Source organism: Homo sapiens, chromosome 6 (genome assembly GCF_000001405.40).
Source record: "Homo sapiens chromosome 6, GRCh38.p14 Primary Assembly".
In the NCBI taxonomy this organism is placed as follows: Eukaryota; Metazoa; Chordata; class Mammalia; order Primates; family Hominidae; genus Homo; species Homo sapiens.
The window spans coordinates 129,668,312-129,688,306 of NC_000006.12; the positions used below are offsets into that span (position 1 = coordinate 129,668,312).

The 19,995-nt window shown below is 40.7% G+C and overlaps 1 protein-coding gene across 1 annotated transcript in view, besides 2 other annotated features; it reads right to left on the reverse strand.

Annotated features, from left to right (window-relative positions):
* ARHGAP18 (Rho GTPase activating protein 18) overlaps nt 1–19,995 on the reverse strand; it is a 134,046-nt gene that overhangs the window by 92,180 nt on the left and 21,871 nt on the right. The window lies entirely within an intron of this gene.
* Nucleotides 4,621–4,760: a silencer, noted in NCBI's record as "silent region_17533". NCBI's record gives its function as "represses an Ori minimal core promoter by ATAC-STARR-seq in GM12878 lymphoblastoid cells {active_cell/tissue: GM12878}" and the evidence as "EXISTENCE:reporter gene assay evidence [ECO:0000049][PMID:35858748]".
* Nucleotides 15,733–16,027: an enhancer, noted in NCBI's record as "tiled region #14599; K562 Activating DNase unmatched - State 5:Enh". NCBI's record gives its function as "activates a minimal TATA promoter and a strong SV40 promoter by Sharpr-MPRA in K562 cells {active_cell/tissue: K562}" and the evidence as "EXISTENCE:reporter gene assay evidence [ECO:0000049][PMID:27701403]".

Here is a 19,995-nt window from a genome sequence, read left to right on the forward strand (position 1 = left end):
ATACAGCATCCTCAACCCCTAGTCCCCAAACCATCAATTTACCCAAATAATCACACACACACACACACACACACACACACACACACACAGACACACACACCATTAAAAACAGTCTATGGACTCAGTACATTTCAACATCTCCAAAATCTCTTTTAAATCTTTCTAAACCATAAGTCAGTCCCAGGGCAGCCTGGTCCATCTGGTCCCGATTCTTCAGCCTGATGTTCAAGACTCTATGAGCTCTGCCCAGCTTTTCTCCATTCCTCGTCGGGTTCCTCTCCCACTTCTCCCTTCAAGTCCCCCACTATGGCCAAACAGTACCAGCTGCCGGAGCCCACCAGGCACTTTTCCTACCCCAGAAGCCTTGCCTGTACCGTCCCCTTCTGTCTGACACCCTCCACACTTCCCTAACGCCCACACTGCAGTGAACGTCCTCCACTCGATCTCTAAACGTCTACCATGTTGTGCACTGCTCTTCTCCAACACTCACTGAATGACTCCACAATTATGATGAGACCCCTTTAGTGATAGTCTGAGGCTGCAGGGAGAATTGCAGGTTTTGAAGTCCAACAACCTTGCTGCTGACTGGACACAGAACTCTGGGTATAATATCTAACCTCTTTGAACACTTGTTTCCTTATTTGTAAAATGAAAGAACAATACCTATCATCTTGCATGGCTGTTAAGAGGACTAGAAATATTCACATAAAGGGCCAAATAGGACTGCCTCAACTCCAGAGAAATAAAACAATTACGCGGTGTCTGTAGGACAGGCTGTGTGCTCAGTGAAAACAGAGCCAGGCACTACTCTCCTCTGTGGTCTCCGTACTCCAACTGCTGTGCTTGGCATCTAACACGCACTTTTTTTTTTTTTTCTTGAGACGGAGTCTCGCTCTCTCGCCCAGGCTGGAGTGCAATGGCGAGGTCACGGCTCACTGCAAGCTCCGCCTCCCGGGTTCACGCCATTCTCCTGCCTCAGCCTCCCGAGTAGCTGGGACTACAGGCGCCCGCCACCATGCCAGGCTAATTTTTTTGTATTTTTAGTAGAGACGGGGTTTCACCATGTTAGCCAGGATGGTCTCGATCTCCTGATCTTGTAATCCGCCCACCTCGGCTTCCCAAAGTGCTGGGATTACAGGCGTGAGCCACCGCGCCCGGCCCTAACATGCACTTTTTAAAGTCAGGAAAAATAGGCCAGGCGCGGTGGCTCATGCCTGTAATCCCAGCACTTTGGGAGGACAAGGCGGGCTGATCACCTGAGGTCGGGAGTTCAAGACCAGCCTGACCAACACGGAGAAACCCCGTCTCTATTAAAAATACAAAATTAGCTGGGCATGGTGGCACATGCTTGTAATCCCAGATACTTGGGAGGCTGAGGCAGGAGAATCGCTTGAACCCAGGAGGCGAAGTTTGCAGTGAGCCGAGATCATGCCACTGCACTCCAGCCTGGGGAACAAGAGTGAAACGTCTCAAAAAAAAAAATAAATAAATTCAGGAAAAATAACTAAAATAATATAGATCAAAATGTTAATGAAGCTATATTCAAGCAATGGTTTTATAGGCAATTTATTGTTTTATTTGTACTTTTCAGTATTGCCTTAATTTTCTAGAGTGAACAAATATTATAAAAGTTATGCTAAATATATTCACTATGACACCATAATTTTGGCACACTATAATCCCTGTTACACATTGCAAGTAGAAATTACATCAACTTTGTATCTATTTATCTCTTATACTTTGTATAATTTTTCTCCTCAGGCACTTATGCTTGCATAAAGCTACTTTGCTGGACTGAAATAAAGACAGTTTTTATTAAAATTCCCCTTAAATTCAACTCCAAAACACCTCCTCAGAATTTTATTTGTGACTACAGTGTGTGCTAATTTGGTTATCAGGTTCAAGCTTTCTCTGGTCTAAATTCAACTTTTTTAAAAAAGGAAATAAACCTAAGAGAGCTTACATTATCACTTCATGGATATCTCATTATTTTGACATTCCCACTTTCTTATATGGTAGGTGTCTACAGTCACCTGGAGTTTTAGTATTTTAAATATTCTTCAATATATTGTGCAAAGTTAACGAAGTGGAAGATGGAGAAATTCTCTATTTCAGAACTGAGTGGCAACAATGTGCCCATTAAAATGAAAAGGAAGATCACATATCACAGGTAACGTTTTTCCTGCATTCTGGTAGAGAATATTCACACCGAGGATGGAGGGTGGTACCCTCTCATAATTTAAAAGCAAAACAAACTGCCTGAAGAGAAGGCTACGTTGGTGGACAGTTAAATTATTTGAAAAGTCTCTTATACCACCTACTTCGCATCAAAAGGAGACTCATTCAGATTCACCAAAAGTATGTGAAGTCGTAACTCTTTTTTTTTTTTTTTTTACTGCCTCCCCCCACCAAGACTTTCTCAGCCTACTCCCCTCCTCTAGGAGCTGCCAAATCACAATGCTCTGCTCCCCTATTCTCACCTGCTGGCATCAGCAGGAACCCAGCTCCCCGTCAAGACCCCCTCAGGTTCCTCCCCTCCACACAGATCTCTACTTCCTCAGGCCTTCCTGGAGTCCCAAGAAGTAGCTGACTTTTACCCAATTCCCAATCTGATGTCAGTTTTTAACACTTCCCAGTACTAAGCCCTTCCCAAGATAGAAAACCTACCTCTTCAAATCATAACATTTGCAGTTACAGTATCTTAGAGATGTCAGGAGTTAGAAGCCATGGACACCCTCTAGTTCAGTGGCTGTCAACCTTAACACACTTGTCTTTAACCTAATACCTATTTTATAATCTTCACCTTTATGATTCTGAAGTAAAGTTCAAGTAATTTATCTATACATAATCCTGTGTGTATGCATATGCCCTTTATGATAATATTAAGGAGAAATAAAGGAAAATAATTTAAAATAGGTTTCTCAATATGTGCCTGGACACTAACAGACATAAAATGAAGTGGTCAACTGTTTATTATATTTACCTATAGAATGAGTTCACATTTGGAAAAAAATAAGATCAGAAAACATTCTGCATGAGAAATACAAAAATTAAAAGGATAAAGGGACACGTGTGTTCATCTTCACAAATGAAGATGTGAATTAGGGCCAGGCGCAGTGGCTTATGCCTATAACCTCAGTGCTTTGGGAGGCTAAAGTGGGAAGACTGCTTGAGCCTGGGGGTTCAAGATCAGCCTGGGCAACAAAGCAAGACCTCATCTCTATAAAAAAAAATTAAAAATTACCCAGGTGCAGTGATGTGAGCCTATAGTTCTATTAATAGCTACTCGGGAGGCTGAGGTGGGAGGATTGCTTGAGCCCAGGAGCTAGAGGCTACAGTGAGCTATGATCGTTTACCTGCACTCCAGCCTGGGTAAACAGAGTAAGACTCTGTCTCTAAAAATAAAAAATAAAAAACTTGAGTTAGATTAAGCAGAGGTGAGACTGACTTGTACATGACATCTTCTCAGGAATGCCAAATAGGTCATTCTAGACACCAGACAATTCTTTGTTTGGCAAGTCTGTCCTGAAATTGTAGAATGTCTAACACAGCTGGAACCTGCCCTGCAAATGATGGGACAACATAAAACACCCCCACAAATTCTCAAAATACCCTTTAGAGGGCACTACTGAGAAGTACTGATCTAGTTCACCCCATTTTGCCTCTGAGAACACAGAAGTTCGGAGAGGTTAAGTGATTACAACACTCACAGCAGGAACAGGTCACAAACCATGACAAAGTGGGTTCCAGAAACCAGTCTCATATCACCACCCACACGTACACGCGCACACACACACGCTTCCTCTCCCCTTTCTTCTACTCCTGGCTCAGATTTTTCATCTATGTCCTCTGCAATCATCGCCATTCAAATTTAACCGTCTGTGTCCCTCTGACCCCACCCATCCCAGGTTCTTCTGAATTGTGTGTGCCAACCTTACTCTCCACGGTACATCAAGTCTCACTAATGTGGCCACAACCTTGGCCTTAACTCAGATCACAAAGATCTCTAACTTAGCACAGCCTCCTCACTGTCTCTGGGACCTTCCAGTTCCATCCCTTTATGTCAGTTCCTTCCTTCCCACTCCCAACTCAGCACCCAAGAGAACTCATTCAGCATTGCTCCCTCAACATTACCCATTATGTGTAACATGGGTCTTGGTTGACACCCACTGTTGGCTTTTTCCTTAGTCCTTACTACACAGAAGTGTGACGTATATTAAGTTCCATATCTACACAGGCTTGCAATACTTCCTACTCACCAAACACAGTACGATTCTATTCAGTGTAGTTCTAGTTGTTTAAACATTTTTTTCCAATGGCTGTCCCCAGTATGCTGAGCTAATGCCTAATTCAATCAACCTATAGGAAACAACTTTGCTTTTATAATAATTAGGCAATAAATAATGAGGATGCTCCTTCCAATAATGTCTTTGTTCATGCTCTATGGCTAAGAAGAATGCCCTCTTTCTCAAAAAACATATTTCCTTCAAAATCTGGTTCTTGTTAATATCCTCAGTAAAGCTTTCAAGACCTTAGCACATATTAATCTCTGAATTCTCAACTTATTAACAACGACAGACTTTCAGAGAAGAAAGAAATCTACAGATTACCTAGTCAAGTCATTTTATTTTACAGATGGAGAAACTGGAACTCAGAGAAGGGAGCAAGCAGTCTCCAGTGATATAACCAGTTGTCTGCAGAGAAAGCTGAAACATGGGTCTCTCCACTTCCTGCCCAGTTTCTTTTGAATACACCAATGACTCATTTCATAGCATTTACAGACCTTTCAAAAGATCAGAATTGTTTTTCTTTAAAAATATGCTTCTGCATAAATTTTAGAAAGATAAGTCTATTATGCTTCACAATGTCCTTCATCTAGTGCTTAAAAATGGAAATATTTTTGTTTGCTACGTATTTTCATACTACATGGAAATTAATACAAATATCCAGTTCCTATTTCCCTTGTTAATTTCTTTCTCATTTTTTTTTCCCCAAGTCAAAAGCCATCTGCAGCTTGCTTCCCAGGACAAAATAGTCATGCCAAAAAAAAAAAAAAAGTCTTAAATAGAGTAGCCAAATCAATGTCCCAAATGAAGGTTAAGTTGTACAGCATTTTGGTTTCAAACCAGGTTTATTTTAAAAGTGTTTTTTCTCTTTATAGGAAGGATAGAGTAAAGGAAATCACATTTCTAAGTGTGCCTGCATGCCTTAACTATTAGTCAACAATGATTCATACATTTTTAAGCTCTTATCTGTCTCAATGAAACTTCTCAGATCTCAACTATTTATATGGTAAATGCCTTGAATGATCAGAATGATCAGATTCAATTATTTCTATTCTTTTCATGCACTTATTTTTACCATTTGCTTCTTAAATTAATGTACATCAGTTAACTCTTTTTAATGGTATCTGCAGAAAAGACCACAGTCAAAAATCCAAAATAACAACTCATTTCACCAACTTTGAAAATCTGATATTTCTATTCTTTTAGGTTATTTTATAATATATTTTAAATACAACTGCAATGCAGAAAAGGAAGTAGATATATTATCTCAAATCTTCTAAACTGAGTGACAAAATAGAGAAAGTTTCAAAAGTACTGGCTCAAATTTCACTGCCTTAATCTCTAGGCCCACAGAGTAATACATACACACACACATACACACACTCCTCCTCTTTGAAAAAGATAGAAACTGATTTGTTTTAAGCTTCTTCCCAACTCTACCTCTCCCCATCACTAAGGAAATATATTTTATTATAGTATTTTATAAACTGTCTTAAAATTTCAATTAACAATTTTTATCTACATGAAAAGTATTCATTAAAATTCTCATTATTATAACCACCTGGTATTGAAGAAACAAGTGTAAGATGTTAGCAAGGAAGGAGGCACACAGGAAGATTTGTAATACATGTCCACAACTTTAAAAAAGACACCATAGGCTGCCTGCCTGGTTCCATCATTAATTGTGAAATCTTGAATGTCACTTAATCTTTCTGGCCTCCTTCCTTCCTTGAAAACCAAGGGAGAATATGAACATGGTATCCGTTTAAACTTTAAAATTCTATGGTTCTAGGACACTACAAAAAATGTACTGAATTATTTTTCTGTGACACGACTGATTAAACAGCTTATATAAACAGTCAGCTCTCCACGTCCATGAGTTCCACATCTGTGGATTCAGCCAACCATGGATCAAAAATATTCAGGAAAAATAAATATCCCACAAAGTTCCAAAGAGCAAAACTTAAATGTGCTGTGCACTGAGTATTATGTTGAATCTATGCAAGTAAAGTGATGTATGGGTAGTGTATTAGGTATTATAAATAATCTAGAGATGATCTAAACTATACAGGAGGATGTGCATATGTTATACTACACCATTTTATATTGGGAACTTGAGCATCTGTGAATTTTGGTGTCCTCAGGGGTTCCTGGAATCAATCCCCCATGGATACCAAGTGAGGACTGTTTATGTTTAGTTAGCCCCTCAGCAGAGGCCCTCCCCAAGAGTTAAATTATAAATCCCTGATGTTTGTGACATCAGTTCGCTATCACATATTAAGTGTGGCCAACTGAATCTATGATTATTTCACAAATTTCATTTTTATAAGGTGTCGCCTCCATTCTTCATTTTAAAAATTTTGACAAAATTGCTAAAGAGCAAAACAGCCATGAGGGAACACAATAATAATGAAATGATACCAGCAGCTTACACTTACTGAGCTCTTACCATCTGCCAGCGACTCTTAAACATCTGCACAGGTATTTTTGCGTTTACTCCTTACAATCTTGCCATTCCAATGTGTCAGTTGAGAAACAGAAGGACAAGTGGTGAAATAACGTGGCCAATGTCACATTGTAAGTGGGAGATCTGGACTTAGACCCCAGGCAATCCACCTTCAGTTCACTCAGGTGGCTAACCCCCTCACCTGGGAGTCTCTAATTAAGAGGTTGAGTGGCGGGAGGCTGAGGCAGGAGAATGGCGGGAACCCGGGAGGCAGAGCTTGCAGTGAACCGAGACCGCGCCACTGCACTCCAGCCTGGGCAACAGAGCGAGACTCCATCTCAAAAAAAAAAAAAAAAAAGAGGTTGAGTGGCAATAGGTGGACGTTAGTTCAATCTCACACTGATGAGCTACATAACCCTAACACCCATTTTTCACATCTGCAAGGTGTGGGCGGGTGTTGGAGGAGCCTTCACATTCCATTATCTGGCAATGTCATCTGGAAAGCCCACAAAAGCATTTACCACAGACATCTAAAAAAGATGGATACTTCTCTCTGGAACATCTCTTGCAGCACAGCCACCTGCCTTTTCCCTGCTTAGTATAAATGGACCTAAGAGCAAGGAAACAGCTGGGTTCCCAGCCCTAAGACATTATGAGAGAGTATCTCAGAGGGAATAAGAAATAGAGACTTAATTGTTTTTCCTTGTTCCTAGAGATGCAGGTAATAAATTCCCCTCCATACGTCCCTATGTCTACCTGAGCTGTCAATCAAATAGCTACCATTTTTAGACCAATTCCTACACCAAGTTTAGCCAAGAGCCACTTCACTCCACCGTACTCCACCCCACCCTCCTCCATTCTTGTCCGCAATTGGAGGAGCAATTGAATCACATGTAAGGACTGATCAATAAGGGGCCACTGGGTCATTTTAAATGGCAGCTCTTATTTCTGCTCAATGTTTAAAACAGATCCACCCAAAAAACCTGGTTGGTGCCATTGCGGCCAGGCACTTGATCCATTATATCAAGTGTCAGACTCTGATTCTTTCCTGGCTATGTTCCAGAAGAGGCTACTGAATGGTAAGAAAGGTGGGAGAGAATGAGGAGAGCTGCTAACTGGCCAAGCTTCCTCACATCTTATGCAGTTGGTCAGTATTCCTTTAATAGATGGGAAAGTAGTAATCTGTAGCAAAAGTAGTCAATGTCTTCTAACGAGGGAAAGTGGTAAGGACTGTTATTTCTGCTTTCTAACCACCCACAAAGGTTAAATTACCCTAATGAGTTGCAGAGGGGGGGCAACAGGTCCAATAACACCATTAGAACCTACATCACAGGGTCAGTCTATTCAAGGGGGTTTAAGGTATTCAGAAACTGAATCTTCACTAGTATATGAAACCATCAAACTGTCCAAAAATCAACTGTAGGTGGTTTATGAGCCCTCACACCCCTGGCATCTCCACAGTTAGAGCTCACATGGAAAACATTCCTTTCCCATCCTGAAGATGGAATGGAAAGACTCAATCTACTCATGGAGCTTAATATTATACCCCTTATAGAGCTTCACTTTTAAATGTTACAATAATACTCTTTAAAGCGCCTGCAAAGTGTGATGCATTGAGCAAGCACTCACTGCATAACACTCATCAGGGATTCTAGGTTCTGTTCCTTCCATCACCAGTTAGACACGAGCTCCCCAACTAGTCACTTTACCGCTCCAACCTGCATTTCCTTGGGTGTGGAAAAAAAAAGTTATACCAAACGAGACTCAAAGTCCCTTAAACACAAAAATCTATAACTGCAAGGTAAAAGTAATATCCTTGAAAATTATCAATCAGTGGTTTATCTGAAAACAGATGAAAAATTTTTTGTCCTCTTTTTTTTTTTTTTTTTTTTTTTTTTTTTTTTTAAGGAAGGAAAATAGAGGATTCCGGGACAGTAACACCGCTGAATTTTTGTATCACTAAGCCTAGATAAGATAAATGGCAATGCCAGATCTAAAACGTAAATTCAGGGAGACTGTCAGAGTCCTGTGCCAAAGGTCAAGTTTAAATAAAAAGTTGCTTATGTTGGCCGGGCGCGGTGGCTCACGCCTGTAATCCCAGCACTTTGGGAGGCCGAAGCAGGCGGATCACGAGGTCAGGAGGATCGAGACCACCCTGGCTAACACGGTGAAACCCCGTCTCTACTAAAATTACAAAAAATTAGCCAGGTGCGGTGGCGGACGCCTGTAGTCTCAGCTACTGAAGAGGCTGAGGCAGGAGAATGGCGTGAACCCGGGAGGCGGAGCTTGCAGTGAGCCGAGATCGCACCACTGCAGTCCGGCCCTGGCGAAAGAGCGAGACTCCGTCTCAAAAAAAAAAAAAAATTGCTTTTGTTGACTAATATACCTCCATCTACCCTTCTTTCCTTGTTCATAATAATTACACTAACTTATGGTTATGGGTAGCTAGTTTTAGCCAGTTTGGTGCACTCTCACTTTCACTGAGTATACCAATTTAAAGTTCTGACTCTAGAAGAAATGAGACACTGTTTTAAAGCATTTAGATTGTATCTCTTGGTTATATTTGTGTGTGCTATTCAACAAACTCCAGGAAATGTCCTTATTGATGTTTACAGAACATTCAATGAAAGACGTAAAATAACAATGGCTACACTATTTCTCAGAATTCTGTTATCATTAAGGTACCTTGAAAAGCTGGTTGGCTCTTTCCCACACATCCCCAACCCTCTTGTCTTTTATTATAGCAACACTGTTCACAAGTCACTTCTTCCTATCATCATTTTTCCTTGTCCTTGCACAGAAACCTTTGCTCCCAAACTTCAGCACTCCCACCACTGGCTGGTATTTAAGCTTCCCATACAGCAATAATATTACCACCAAAGCTATGAGTAATTTTAATGTGGGAAAGGGAAAGGAAATGCAAGATAGCAATACTTGAAAGGTAAAAAACAAAACTTGCCTATGAGTATCATCCATATTTTCTTTATCAGCTCTGCCTTACATTTCTACCAAAGTAGAATTGTCCTTGTTGTTGTCAGATAACAGAGAGATGATTACATGCACACAAGTTATACCAGCTCAGCCTGGGGAAGGTGCAAACTTCAAGTGTGTGTTATTTCACACCATGCCCCATTGAACCCCAGAGGTCTGTAAGGTAGGCCCTTTTGGGTCTCCGATCAATATTTACACAAAACATGAAATAAAATTCCCCCTTACATCTCTGAGCACATATCTGAACTTAAATGCATTATGGATTAGAAAGTTGCAGTTCTCTATTGATCTCTTTTCCAAATCCATGCTGATACAACATTTGTGCTCAAGAAAAGCTGTACAGGCAAAAATATTGCTCAAACATATACAACACACTCAACGGATGCCTGGCAAAGTGCAGGAGCCGCTGGCATCTGTACTTATGGAGATATAGCAACCAAATACATTGTAATTTGGAAACAAAACCATGTAAAAGGTATCTGGGGGAAAATTGTGGAAATTTTAATATGGCCTTCATATTAGACCATAATTATCTTTGGTGTGATAATGGTACAGTGCAGTGGTTCTCAAACTTGCCTGCACATTAGAATCACCTGGGAGCTTCACCAAAAACAAACAAACAAAAAATACGTATGCCTGTGACTCATGCAGGGATTGAGATTAATTTATCTGGAGTGTGATCTGAGCTTTGTAGTATTAAATTTTTCTAAATTTAAAACTTCAAATATAGACATAAGATTTACATGTATTCATTAACCCATTGTAAAAATTTCTAAGTGCTTAAATTTTTCAAAATAAAAAGTTGAGGAAACAATATTAACCATCTTGCTCATGTGATCATCTTAGACAAGATACTATCTTAGGTACAAAATTCAGCATATCACAAACAGAAAACTACTTTCAGATGATAGGAAATGTTTAGGAATTCACTAAGTAGCTTAATAAACTGTAGAATAAACTCTTTTGGCTTCAATGCTTATTTTTTAATGTTTTTAAAAGTTGAAGTCCAGTGCCTTACTTACATTATTCTGAATATCAATTGTCTCTATAGAATACTGTAGGCATAGGATCCATTTGGGTTTTATCTCTACTGACCCTAAAAACACACTTTAAAGTACATTTTAAAATAAATCCTTACTATTCATCTGATTTGTCCTAATTTGCCACTTTCTCTTAAGAGATACAACAAAAATGTTCCAATTAATATTGATTCTTCAATCAGTCTAAACTAGTGCCATCTGTCATCTGGACAGTTATTATTCATAGCAAAACTGTAGTTATTATTCATTATTTATCTATCACCAACTTGATATTTTTCCCTGGCAAGAACATAAAAAGAATAGGGAGAAACATAGCCGGAAAAGCAGATTGGAGTCCTGATTTCTAAAATGTTCATACTTAAGCATGTACTCATTTGGAAAATATTTATTGAGAACCTACTACATGCCAAGTAATGTGGATACAATTATACACAAGCCAAACACGATCCCAGATTTATAGTTATGTTGGGAATACAGACAAACACACATGACACGATTAGAGGGCTGCTTTTGGAAAGTTAATCTGACCATCAGAATTCAACTAAGCCTGGCTTGTAGTAAAAGCTGATATTACATGTAAGTAAACAACAGGGTGTTCTTTCATGAAAATTAAGTTTGGTGGTAGGGTCCTCCTGAACAAGTTGCTTTCCATTTCGTTTTTATTTCTCTTCCCTCCTGCATTGGTTTCATGTGGCTGCTATAACAAATTACCAAAATTTGGTGGCTTAAAACAAATGAAATCTATTCTCTAAAAGTCTGGAGACTAGAAATTTAAAAGCAGGATCACTGGGCTGAAATCCTGGTGTCAGCAAGGCAGCACTCCCTCCGAAGCCTCTAGGGATCCAGTCCTTGCCTCTTCCAGTGTCTATCTGGCAGTACCAGCATTTCCTTGCCGTGGCCACATGACTTCAATCTCCGCCTCCATCTTTACATGCTTCTCCTCTGCATATCAAATCTCCCTCTGCCACCTAAAAGGATACTTGTAATTGCATTTAGGACCCAACTGGATAATCCAGGATAATTTCCCATCTCAAGATCTTAACTTAATCACATCTGCAAAGACCCTTTTTCCAAATAAGTTCACATTCACAACTTCTGTGAATTAGGACCTTTTTAAAAATTTTTGGAAGCCACTATCAGACAATCATACCTACACAGAAAGCCTAAGAATGAAAAAGGGTAATAAGAAAAAAAATACAAATTTACTAAGCCAGAGCATTTACAGTTCTGCTCCAAACATATCTGAAGAGTTTTTCTGCTTCTGAATAGGTCCCCAAAAGCAAGGTTCTCTACTCCTAAGTTATTTAAGGCGTTTAAGGTGAGAATTTAATTAAATTATACTGGGAAGTACCATACAAATTAAAACTAATATTATACCTCTTTTCTCCCCCTCTCCTTCCTCCTCAATAATAACCTCAAATTTCCTTTCGAACAGCTCCTGTAACTTTTACTGACCCATTTCAGAACTCTGGCTTGACACTGCACTGTATTAATCCTGGGAGAAAGAGCCCAAGAAAGCTCAGCAAGCAGCCCCCTACACAGGGCCAGTTCTCAGGAGCCTTTAGGATCAGAGGTAAATCTGGGCAAGGCCGAAGCCTGGTCTGGTGGTACCCTGGAGCCAGATCGTTTCCAGAACTGGAAGAGTAACATGGCATTCATCCAGGGGACATGCTCCTTATAGTTGCTTTTCCTTAACTGAAAAAGGAATTCTTGGCTAGAGAGCCTAAAAGCCTAAAGGCAAAATTATATGGATAACCCAGAGAGTATGTATGGACCTCAGGGCTCCAAGGAAAACAGTGAGGAGGCATTATGACTTTGTACTTCAGCAATGACAGCAGTGGAGGATGGGCCAAATCTCTGCCTTCCCGATAAACCCTTTGAGTAGAACTGTAACACAGCCCACCATAATCCTGACTCGCCTCCTTCTCTAGTTTCCTGGACATGGAGAATTGCTGCCATTCTAGAATCCACTTGCCAAGATCCTTAATCAGAAGTTTTTTTTGCTGTTGTTGTTGTTTTTTGAGACGAAGTCTTACTCTGTTGCCCAAGCTGGAGTGCAGTAGCACAATCGCGGCTCACTGTAACCTCCACCTCCCGAGTTCAAGTGATTCTCCTGCCTCAGCCTCCTGAGTAGCTGGGACTACAGGCACGCACTGCCATGTCCAGCTAATTTTTGTATTTTTGGTAGAGACAGGGTTTTACTATGTTGGCCAGGCTCGTCTTGAACTCCTAACCTCGTGATCCGCCTGCCTCGGCCTCCCAAAGTGCTGGGATTACAGGCGTGAGCCACCGCGCCCAGCTAGAAGTATTTCTTAACATTGTTAATACTTAACAGTGTCCTCCAAAAAAGAAAACATCCTGAGGTAGAAAACCTACATATAAATCAATAATTCAATGACTGCTTGTATATAAGCCCCATCTACTTTCTTCTCTCTCCAGATCTGAATTAGTATACAAATTCAATCTTCAGCCTCTTAAGCAAGAATAAAAATACCACATCATATACTATGATGCCATTACAAATATATTCCCATTTTATTTGAGCTATTAACTTTTTTTTGCTTGTATAAACAGAATAAATAATTCATTTCATGGCTTAAAACATAGCAACATGAAGGCAAATGCAAAATAAATAGCAAATCAAAATCCGTGAAATACTAGACAAGGGTTGTCTGATGTAGGGTAAGCACTGTGAGACAGTCCAAAGACAACACATTGCATTTCACTTTGTTTTCAAAGAACATGGTGACCAAGTTCACAGGTTAGGCAATCCATTATCCCTTCTTCTTCATTTATTGGCTTGCCTTCACCTAGCAGAAGTTTCAGGCAGCTACACAAAAAGTCTATTGTTTCCTCTCTGCTGTATCTCATCAAGTAATGTCCTTTCACTCCAGTGAAAAGCCTATACTCTTACTGAGCTCATCTTAGCTTATTAAATTTATAATTTAACAACTGTGCCAACACACTGTAATTACAGAATCATTATGTGGTTTTTACATACAATTATTTTTTAAAGGAAGGCTCACTGGAGATTCAGTTTATGAAAGCAGATATTACGTCAATCCCCTTCATACATACTGAAGAAAAGCTCCTTCACCTCCTACTACCCACCCTAACCCCCGGTTTTGGCTAAACCAAGGAAAGGACAATATTGGTGTCTGTTAAGTATGAAGACATGCCAGGGTCACAGAAGAAATAACTCCAGCTTTGGAACATAAAACAACCCACGCCTTTCTCTTTGCCAAGCCAGAATCCTGACATGACCACTTCTGAAGCCCCCTTGCCTCATTTCCCCGTGTTCTGAGGCTAGCTTCCCTCTCTGGCAGACCCCCAGAACAATACATGAGGTCTTACAGGCAAGTAGTCCTACAGATCCAAGAGGAATCAAAGCATAGCTGTCACCCACACAGGATGCAAATGGCATCTCCTCATGGACAACTGGGTGCCATTATCTGTAGATGGTTACTGAAACACAGACTTCTGACATTAGTGTTAGTCGAATTCTAAAGTTTGATCTGGTAAAAATAAACTAAAACCCTAGAGACACAAAGCAACATTCTTATGTCCCAAAGCATCATCACATAATTAGCAAACATTTATTGACTGTCCACAGCCTGCCTGGCATTAACTAGATGTTGAGATTCAGGAATAAAGAAAACAACATGTTTAATGCCTTGATGAGTTTATAGTCTAAGATGGATAGAGTAACTGGACACACAGCTGAGAATAAACAAGGGACTGAACAATAAAACACAATAAGAATTTTTTTGAGAAAACTGCACACATAATGCATTTTAATCAAGGTAAACCATATAATACATTTTAATCAAAAGACATAGCTTGATAATATTACTATATTCTATTGATTGTTCTATTTCTTTCTTTCTCGTTCTGTTTCTCCTTTCTGTTTTTACCACCATGGTTATTCACAGACTTATATACTTCAGGAAAAAAAAAGTGAGAAATGTGTTTTGTTTTTTCTTTTTTTTTTTTTGTTTTTTTTTTTGTTTTTTTTGAGACGGAGTCTCGCTGTGTCACCCAGGCTGGACTGCAGTGGCGTGATCTCGGCTCACTGCAAGCTCCACCTCCCAGGTTCACACCATTCTCCTGCCTCAGCCTCCCGAGTAGCTGGGACTACAGGCACTCGCCACCACGCCCGGCTAACTTTTTGTATTTTTAGTAGAGACCGGGTTTCACCATGTTAGCCAGGATGGTCTCGATATCCTGACCTCGTGATCTGCCCAATTCAGCCTCCCAAAGTGCTGGGATTACAGGCGTGAGCCACCACGCCCGGCCTTGTTTTTTCTTTTAATTTGAGGTGGAAGGAACCAGCACAGGGTTGTTGGTTTTTTTATCTGCCAAGTACGGGCTTTTTTTCCCGTAGAAATGAAAAACTATATCTACTTGCATTAGCTTCATTTCATTAAAACATTGATCACACGTTAATAATTTGTGATCAAATTCATTTACGTATAAACAACCAATATCAGATCCTTTCATATTTTGATTAGCAGTATGAATTACAGAGCGGAATGATAACAAGTCAGAGAAGAAAAAAGCCCTGATGAGTCAAAAATGTAATGGAAAATAGAGGTTGGAGATGGCAAAATCTTTCCTTATTTCACAATTTTCTCTGGGGCCAGCCCAATTTACCTTTCACAACAATGCAATAACAAAGCAGCAAGGTGTATCTCTGCCTTGCACAAAGTGGATATGGTGAATGAGAACACCATCAAGAATCATAAAATGATGTGGGCATACCTGGAAAGTAACGTGGAGGTGTAACCACGGCGGGGGGGAGTTCTGCTAAGAAAGGAAAGGTGAGAAAACACTTGGGAGAAAATGGCTTTTGAAAATGTGAATTGAAAAGAGAAGGAGCTCAAAGCCAAGAAACTGACACTGACAGCGCGAGATGATTGAAGTGCAGATTAGGATTGAGTTGGGGCGTTGAAAAATAAAGTACAGATCTGAAAAATCTTGGAGAGAAAAAAATAACAAAGCTTAGTAAGAGCTCCTTGAGCAGGCCTGGGGAGAGAGATGTCAGTGATGACTCAGATGTCAGGAGTGGCAAGGCAGGCCAGCTGCAGGACTGCCAGTGACAGGAGGAAGTAGGAGAGGAAATGATGCATGCGATAGCTAAGAAACACTATAAATGGCTACATATCTGTGGTTTCTCCAGCAAAAATGCATGTGCAAAACGTTCTGTATTCAGTACCCTAGTTAAAATATAACTGTGGGGAGAGCAACAGATTAACTACACAAACTGTTGCTTTAAGATAGCATGCCTAGGAATGTGCATGGGAAAAAAATACTGAGGCAAAATAAAATTCAATTGTGGTTAGCTCTAGAGTAGTATTATATTAATAATATAAGTGACTTTTGCCTCCTCTTTTGTGCTGCTATTTTTCTAAATTTTCTCTATTGAGAATGTTGTCTTGTAGGGCAAAGTTTTGAAAGTTCCTAAGTGAACATGTTAGAATGCTGTGTGTTAGTTTGTAAATTTCATGGAAACACATACACACCAGAACGCATCCACCAACATTAGGTGTCATGGAGCCTGCGGCACACAGAGGGTCCTCCAAAACAGCATTAATATATCCGTAGAAGTCCATGGGAATCATCGTAGTTGGCCATCTGGTGACTTTCACGTGTTTAGCATATAATCAGAAGTACACAGATTGACCATACTTTACCCAAATCATGAAAGCCAAGAAATTTGTCTAATAAATAAATTACTTAACCCGAAGCCTAATACTACCCCAAGGAATTTTTCAGTAAGATCTGTGAAATGCCCTCTAGAATCAGAGAAGATATCAGCACTAAGATATTTGAGTATTAAATACAGTGTTTCATGATCCTAGAAAAGTGGAATGGGTACTTCCAAAGTAAACTGGGCAAATCCAATATGCAAGGTCACTGAAATAGAGAAACGTCATTACTGCTTTCTCAGACTCCGGCGGTGGACACTGGACACAGCGTAGTAATTAACAGGACAGCCTCTGGAACCAGGCTGCCAGGGTTTCAAAGCAGCTCCACCACATTCCTAGCATGTCACCTTGAGCAAGTTTTCTTCACTTTTGGGCCTCGGTTTCCCCAACTATAAAATAGAGACCATAACTATACCTACTCTCATAGAATCATGAAATATAGGGCTGGGCACAGTGGCTCACATGTGTAATCCCAGTACTTTGGGAGACCGAGGTGGGCGGATCAATTGAGGTCAAGAGTTCAAGACCAGCCTGGCCAACATGGTAAAAACTCATCTCTACTAAAAATGCAAAAATTAGCCAGGCATGGTGGCAGGCACCTGTAATCCCAGCTACTTGGGAGGCTGAGCTAGGAGAATCACTTAAACCTGGGAGCCAGGGGTTGCAGTGAGCTGAGATCACACCACTGCACTCCACCCTGGGCCAACAGAGCAAGACTCCGTCTAAAAAAAAAAAATTGTGAAATATAAATGAGTCAATATTCAAATATAGGATATTATAAAGCACACAATACCAGGCAAATTGAAGGTACTGTATAAAGGTTATTGTTACATATTTTTCATTAAAAAGAGATGTCAAAAAAGCCCAGCCTTCTCAAAAATTCTATTCAGACTTAAATGCAACCATTAAATGTGCTGATCACGGTGATCACTTGATAGTTTTTTCCATATTCAAAAATACAAGGCAGCTTTTTTTTTTCCTCTCCCACTTCCTCTTATTTTCCCCTCTGATCTACACACAAAAATGAATTTAGTTAATACTTGAGTTCCCAGAAGTGAGAAGTCCAGATGGTTTTCTCCCTACTCAAGCCCTCCTCTAGGAAACGAAGAAGTCTTTTTGCAACAACCCTGCCTGTATGTTGGCAACAACTTTCAAAATCAAAAGCAAGTTGACCCCACTGTAAAAGAAAAATGCTTCTTCAGCCCTTACATTGCCGGGGGCGGGCGGAGGGGCAGAAAAATCAGAAAAGAAAAGGAAAAGTCTGTGCTAAAGGAAAATTAAATAAATTTGGGTTTTTGCAAAAGACCCTAACACCGAGCTCTCCCGTGATGCAGCACAGCTTCTCGGAACCCAACTCTTACTATTTCCTCGGATCCCCTCTCTGGATAAAGGTTCTTTTCCCAGCAGGGCCGTTCATTTGCATGGTAAGTACCAACATAGTGTAAAATATGAACTCCCACGCTCCCAAACCCTCCTACCATGGCTGCCCTGTGTTCCTCAGCCACTTTCTCCTTTGCACTGTCCCCTACAGGCTGGGCTGCTCATCTCCTAGTGAGCTTGCCTTCCCAGCCATTCCCATAAGACTCTCTGCACATTCTACAAGTGATGTTCAGGGAGCATCTGAAAGCTTACCTCACCTCCAAATCTCACCAATCAGAGGAGCCTCCAGCCTACCACTCCACCAGTAAGATATGAGGATAGAGGTTCCCTGCGCAGGTAAGCTGGCAAAGACCAGACGCTTACCCAGAGCTGCCTTGGCTCCTCACAGGGCACCGACTTCTTCAAAGTTCAGTCTCTTCCCTAGGATACTGAGAAAGCCACCCACCTGGATATTCCAGAGAAATATGGGCTGAACTTCCAGAATCCTCAGATTTGCAACTATAGAAGTGTTTAAGTGTTACAAGTTATAAGTTATATGGATTTGTCTTTCTCCAGATTGATATATTTTTCAGGAGTCAGGGGAGTCATCCCGTCATCTTTCACTGAATTCCCTCCCTAATAAAACCTTTTTTTTTTTTTTTTTTTGAGATGGAGTCTCGCTCTCGTGGCCCAGGCCGGTGTGCAATGGCGCGATCTCGGATCACTGCAACCTCCACCTCCTAGGTTCAAGCGATCCTCCTGCCTCAGCCTCCGGAGTAGTTGGGATTACAGGCACCGGCCACCACACCTGGCTAATTTTTTTTTCTTTTTTTTTTCTTTTTTTTTTTTTTTTTTGTATTTTTGTAGAGACGAGGTTTCACCATGTTGGCCAGGCTAGTCTCAAACTCCTAACCTCAGGTTATTCACACAACTCAGCCTCCGAAAGCTCTGGGATTACAGGCGTGAGTCACTGCGCCTGGCCATAAAACCATTCTTTGCAAGCACAGTTTCATCCCTTTGAGATGACAGTTGGCTACAGATGTTGAACAGGTATGCAGGGACCAGTTTCTATGCACCCCACCTTTAGGACTTGCAACTCTAGTTCACGGGTCTCAGAGAAGTTGTAAGTTACCAGTTTCCAACATTCCAAATTACTGCAAATGCCAGAAACTACAAATGTTTGGAAATGCCAAGAGTCTGAGGATCTACTGACACAGCATATAGCTGAAACCTCACCCACATAGTGTTAAGAAAGCGTTTCCTGCCTGTCTGGGGCTGACAAACCACAACAACCCTTTTCTTCTTCCTCAGGCACCAAGCAGGACTCATCAGGACACCTGGGCTCAGGCTCAAACCCTATCAAAGCAGGGCTGTACTGAGGACGCACCTTCATTCTCTTCCCAGAACAAGTGAAGGAAATAGGAGAGGATCTTTGCTCTAGGAAAGCAGGCTTCAGACAGGAAGTGGCAACAATTCATACAAGGTGCCATTCTTTCCTCTAACCCACACCTTAACCTGTGTTGACCATCTCCCTCTCTCATCACAATATCTCTAGATTCTTCCACATACTTATTGAAAACTATGTTCATGACACGACAGAGGAGGTAACTGTCTCAGATAGCATAAGAAGTTCAATAGTAACCAAACATTTTTTTTTAAGTTATTTCCAGTGGGCCTGTGTGCTTTAGCTCACTTAAATCTTCACAACACCACTGAGGCACAGAGATGTTTTGTAACTCACCCACGGTCAGTTAACCAATAAGGGTAGATCTGAGATACAAAACCATGCCATCTCGTCATCGAGAGCTCCCTCTTCCCACTACAGTGTCAATCCATCAGAACAGTTCCAGTTCAGTAGACCCAGTGATCCATGATGGAGCAATTGGGTATTCTGAAGAGTGGGCAGTTCACAAGCAGACATGGATGAAAAGAAATCCCAATTCTTCAGTCAAGATTGACCTTTAAGACTTTCCACAAAGTGGCCTCAACCTCTCGTTCCAGTCTTTTCTTCTCCTCCCCAAGAGCCACGTCAGCATCCTTACATATCAGCTCCCTTCCAAACTTCTCTCTCTTCAGAATGTATTTACCTTTTTCCCCTAAAACCCAATCCTATCCAACTGCTCCAGCAAGATGAAACCTGAAACTTTCTCTGATCTTCTTAGTTG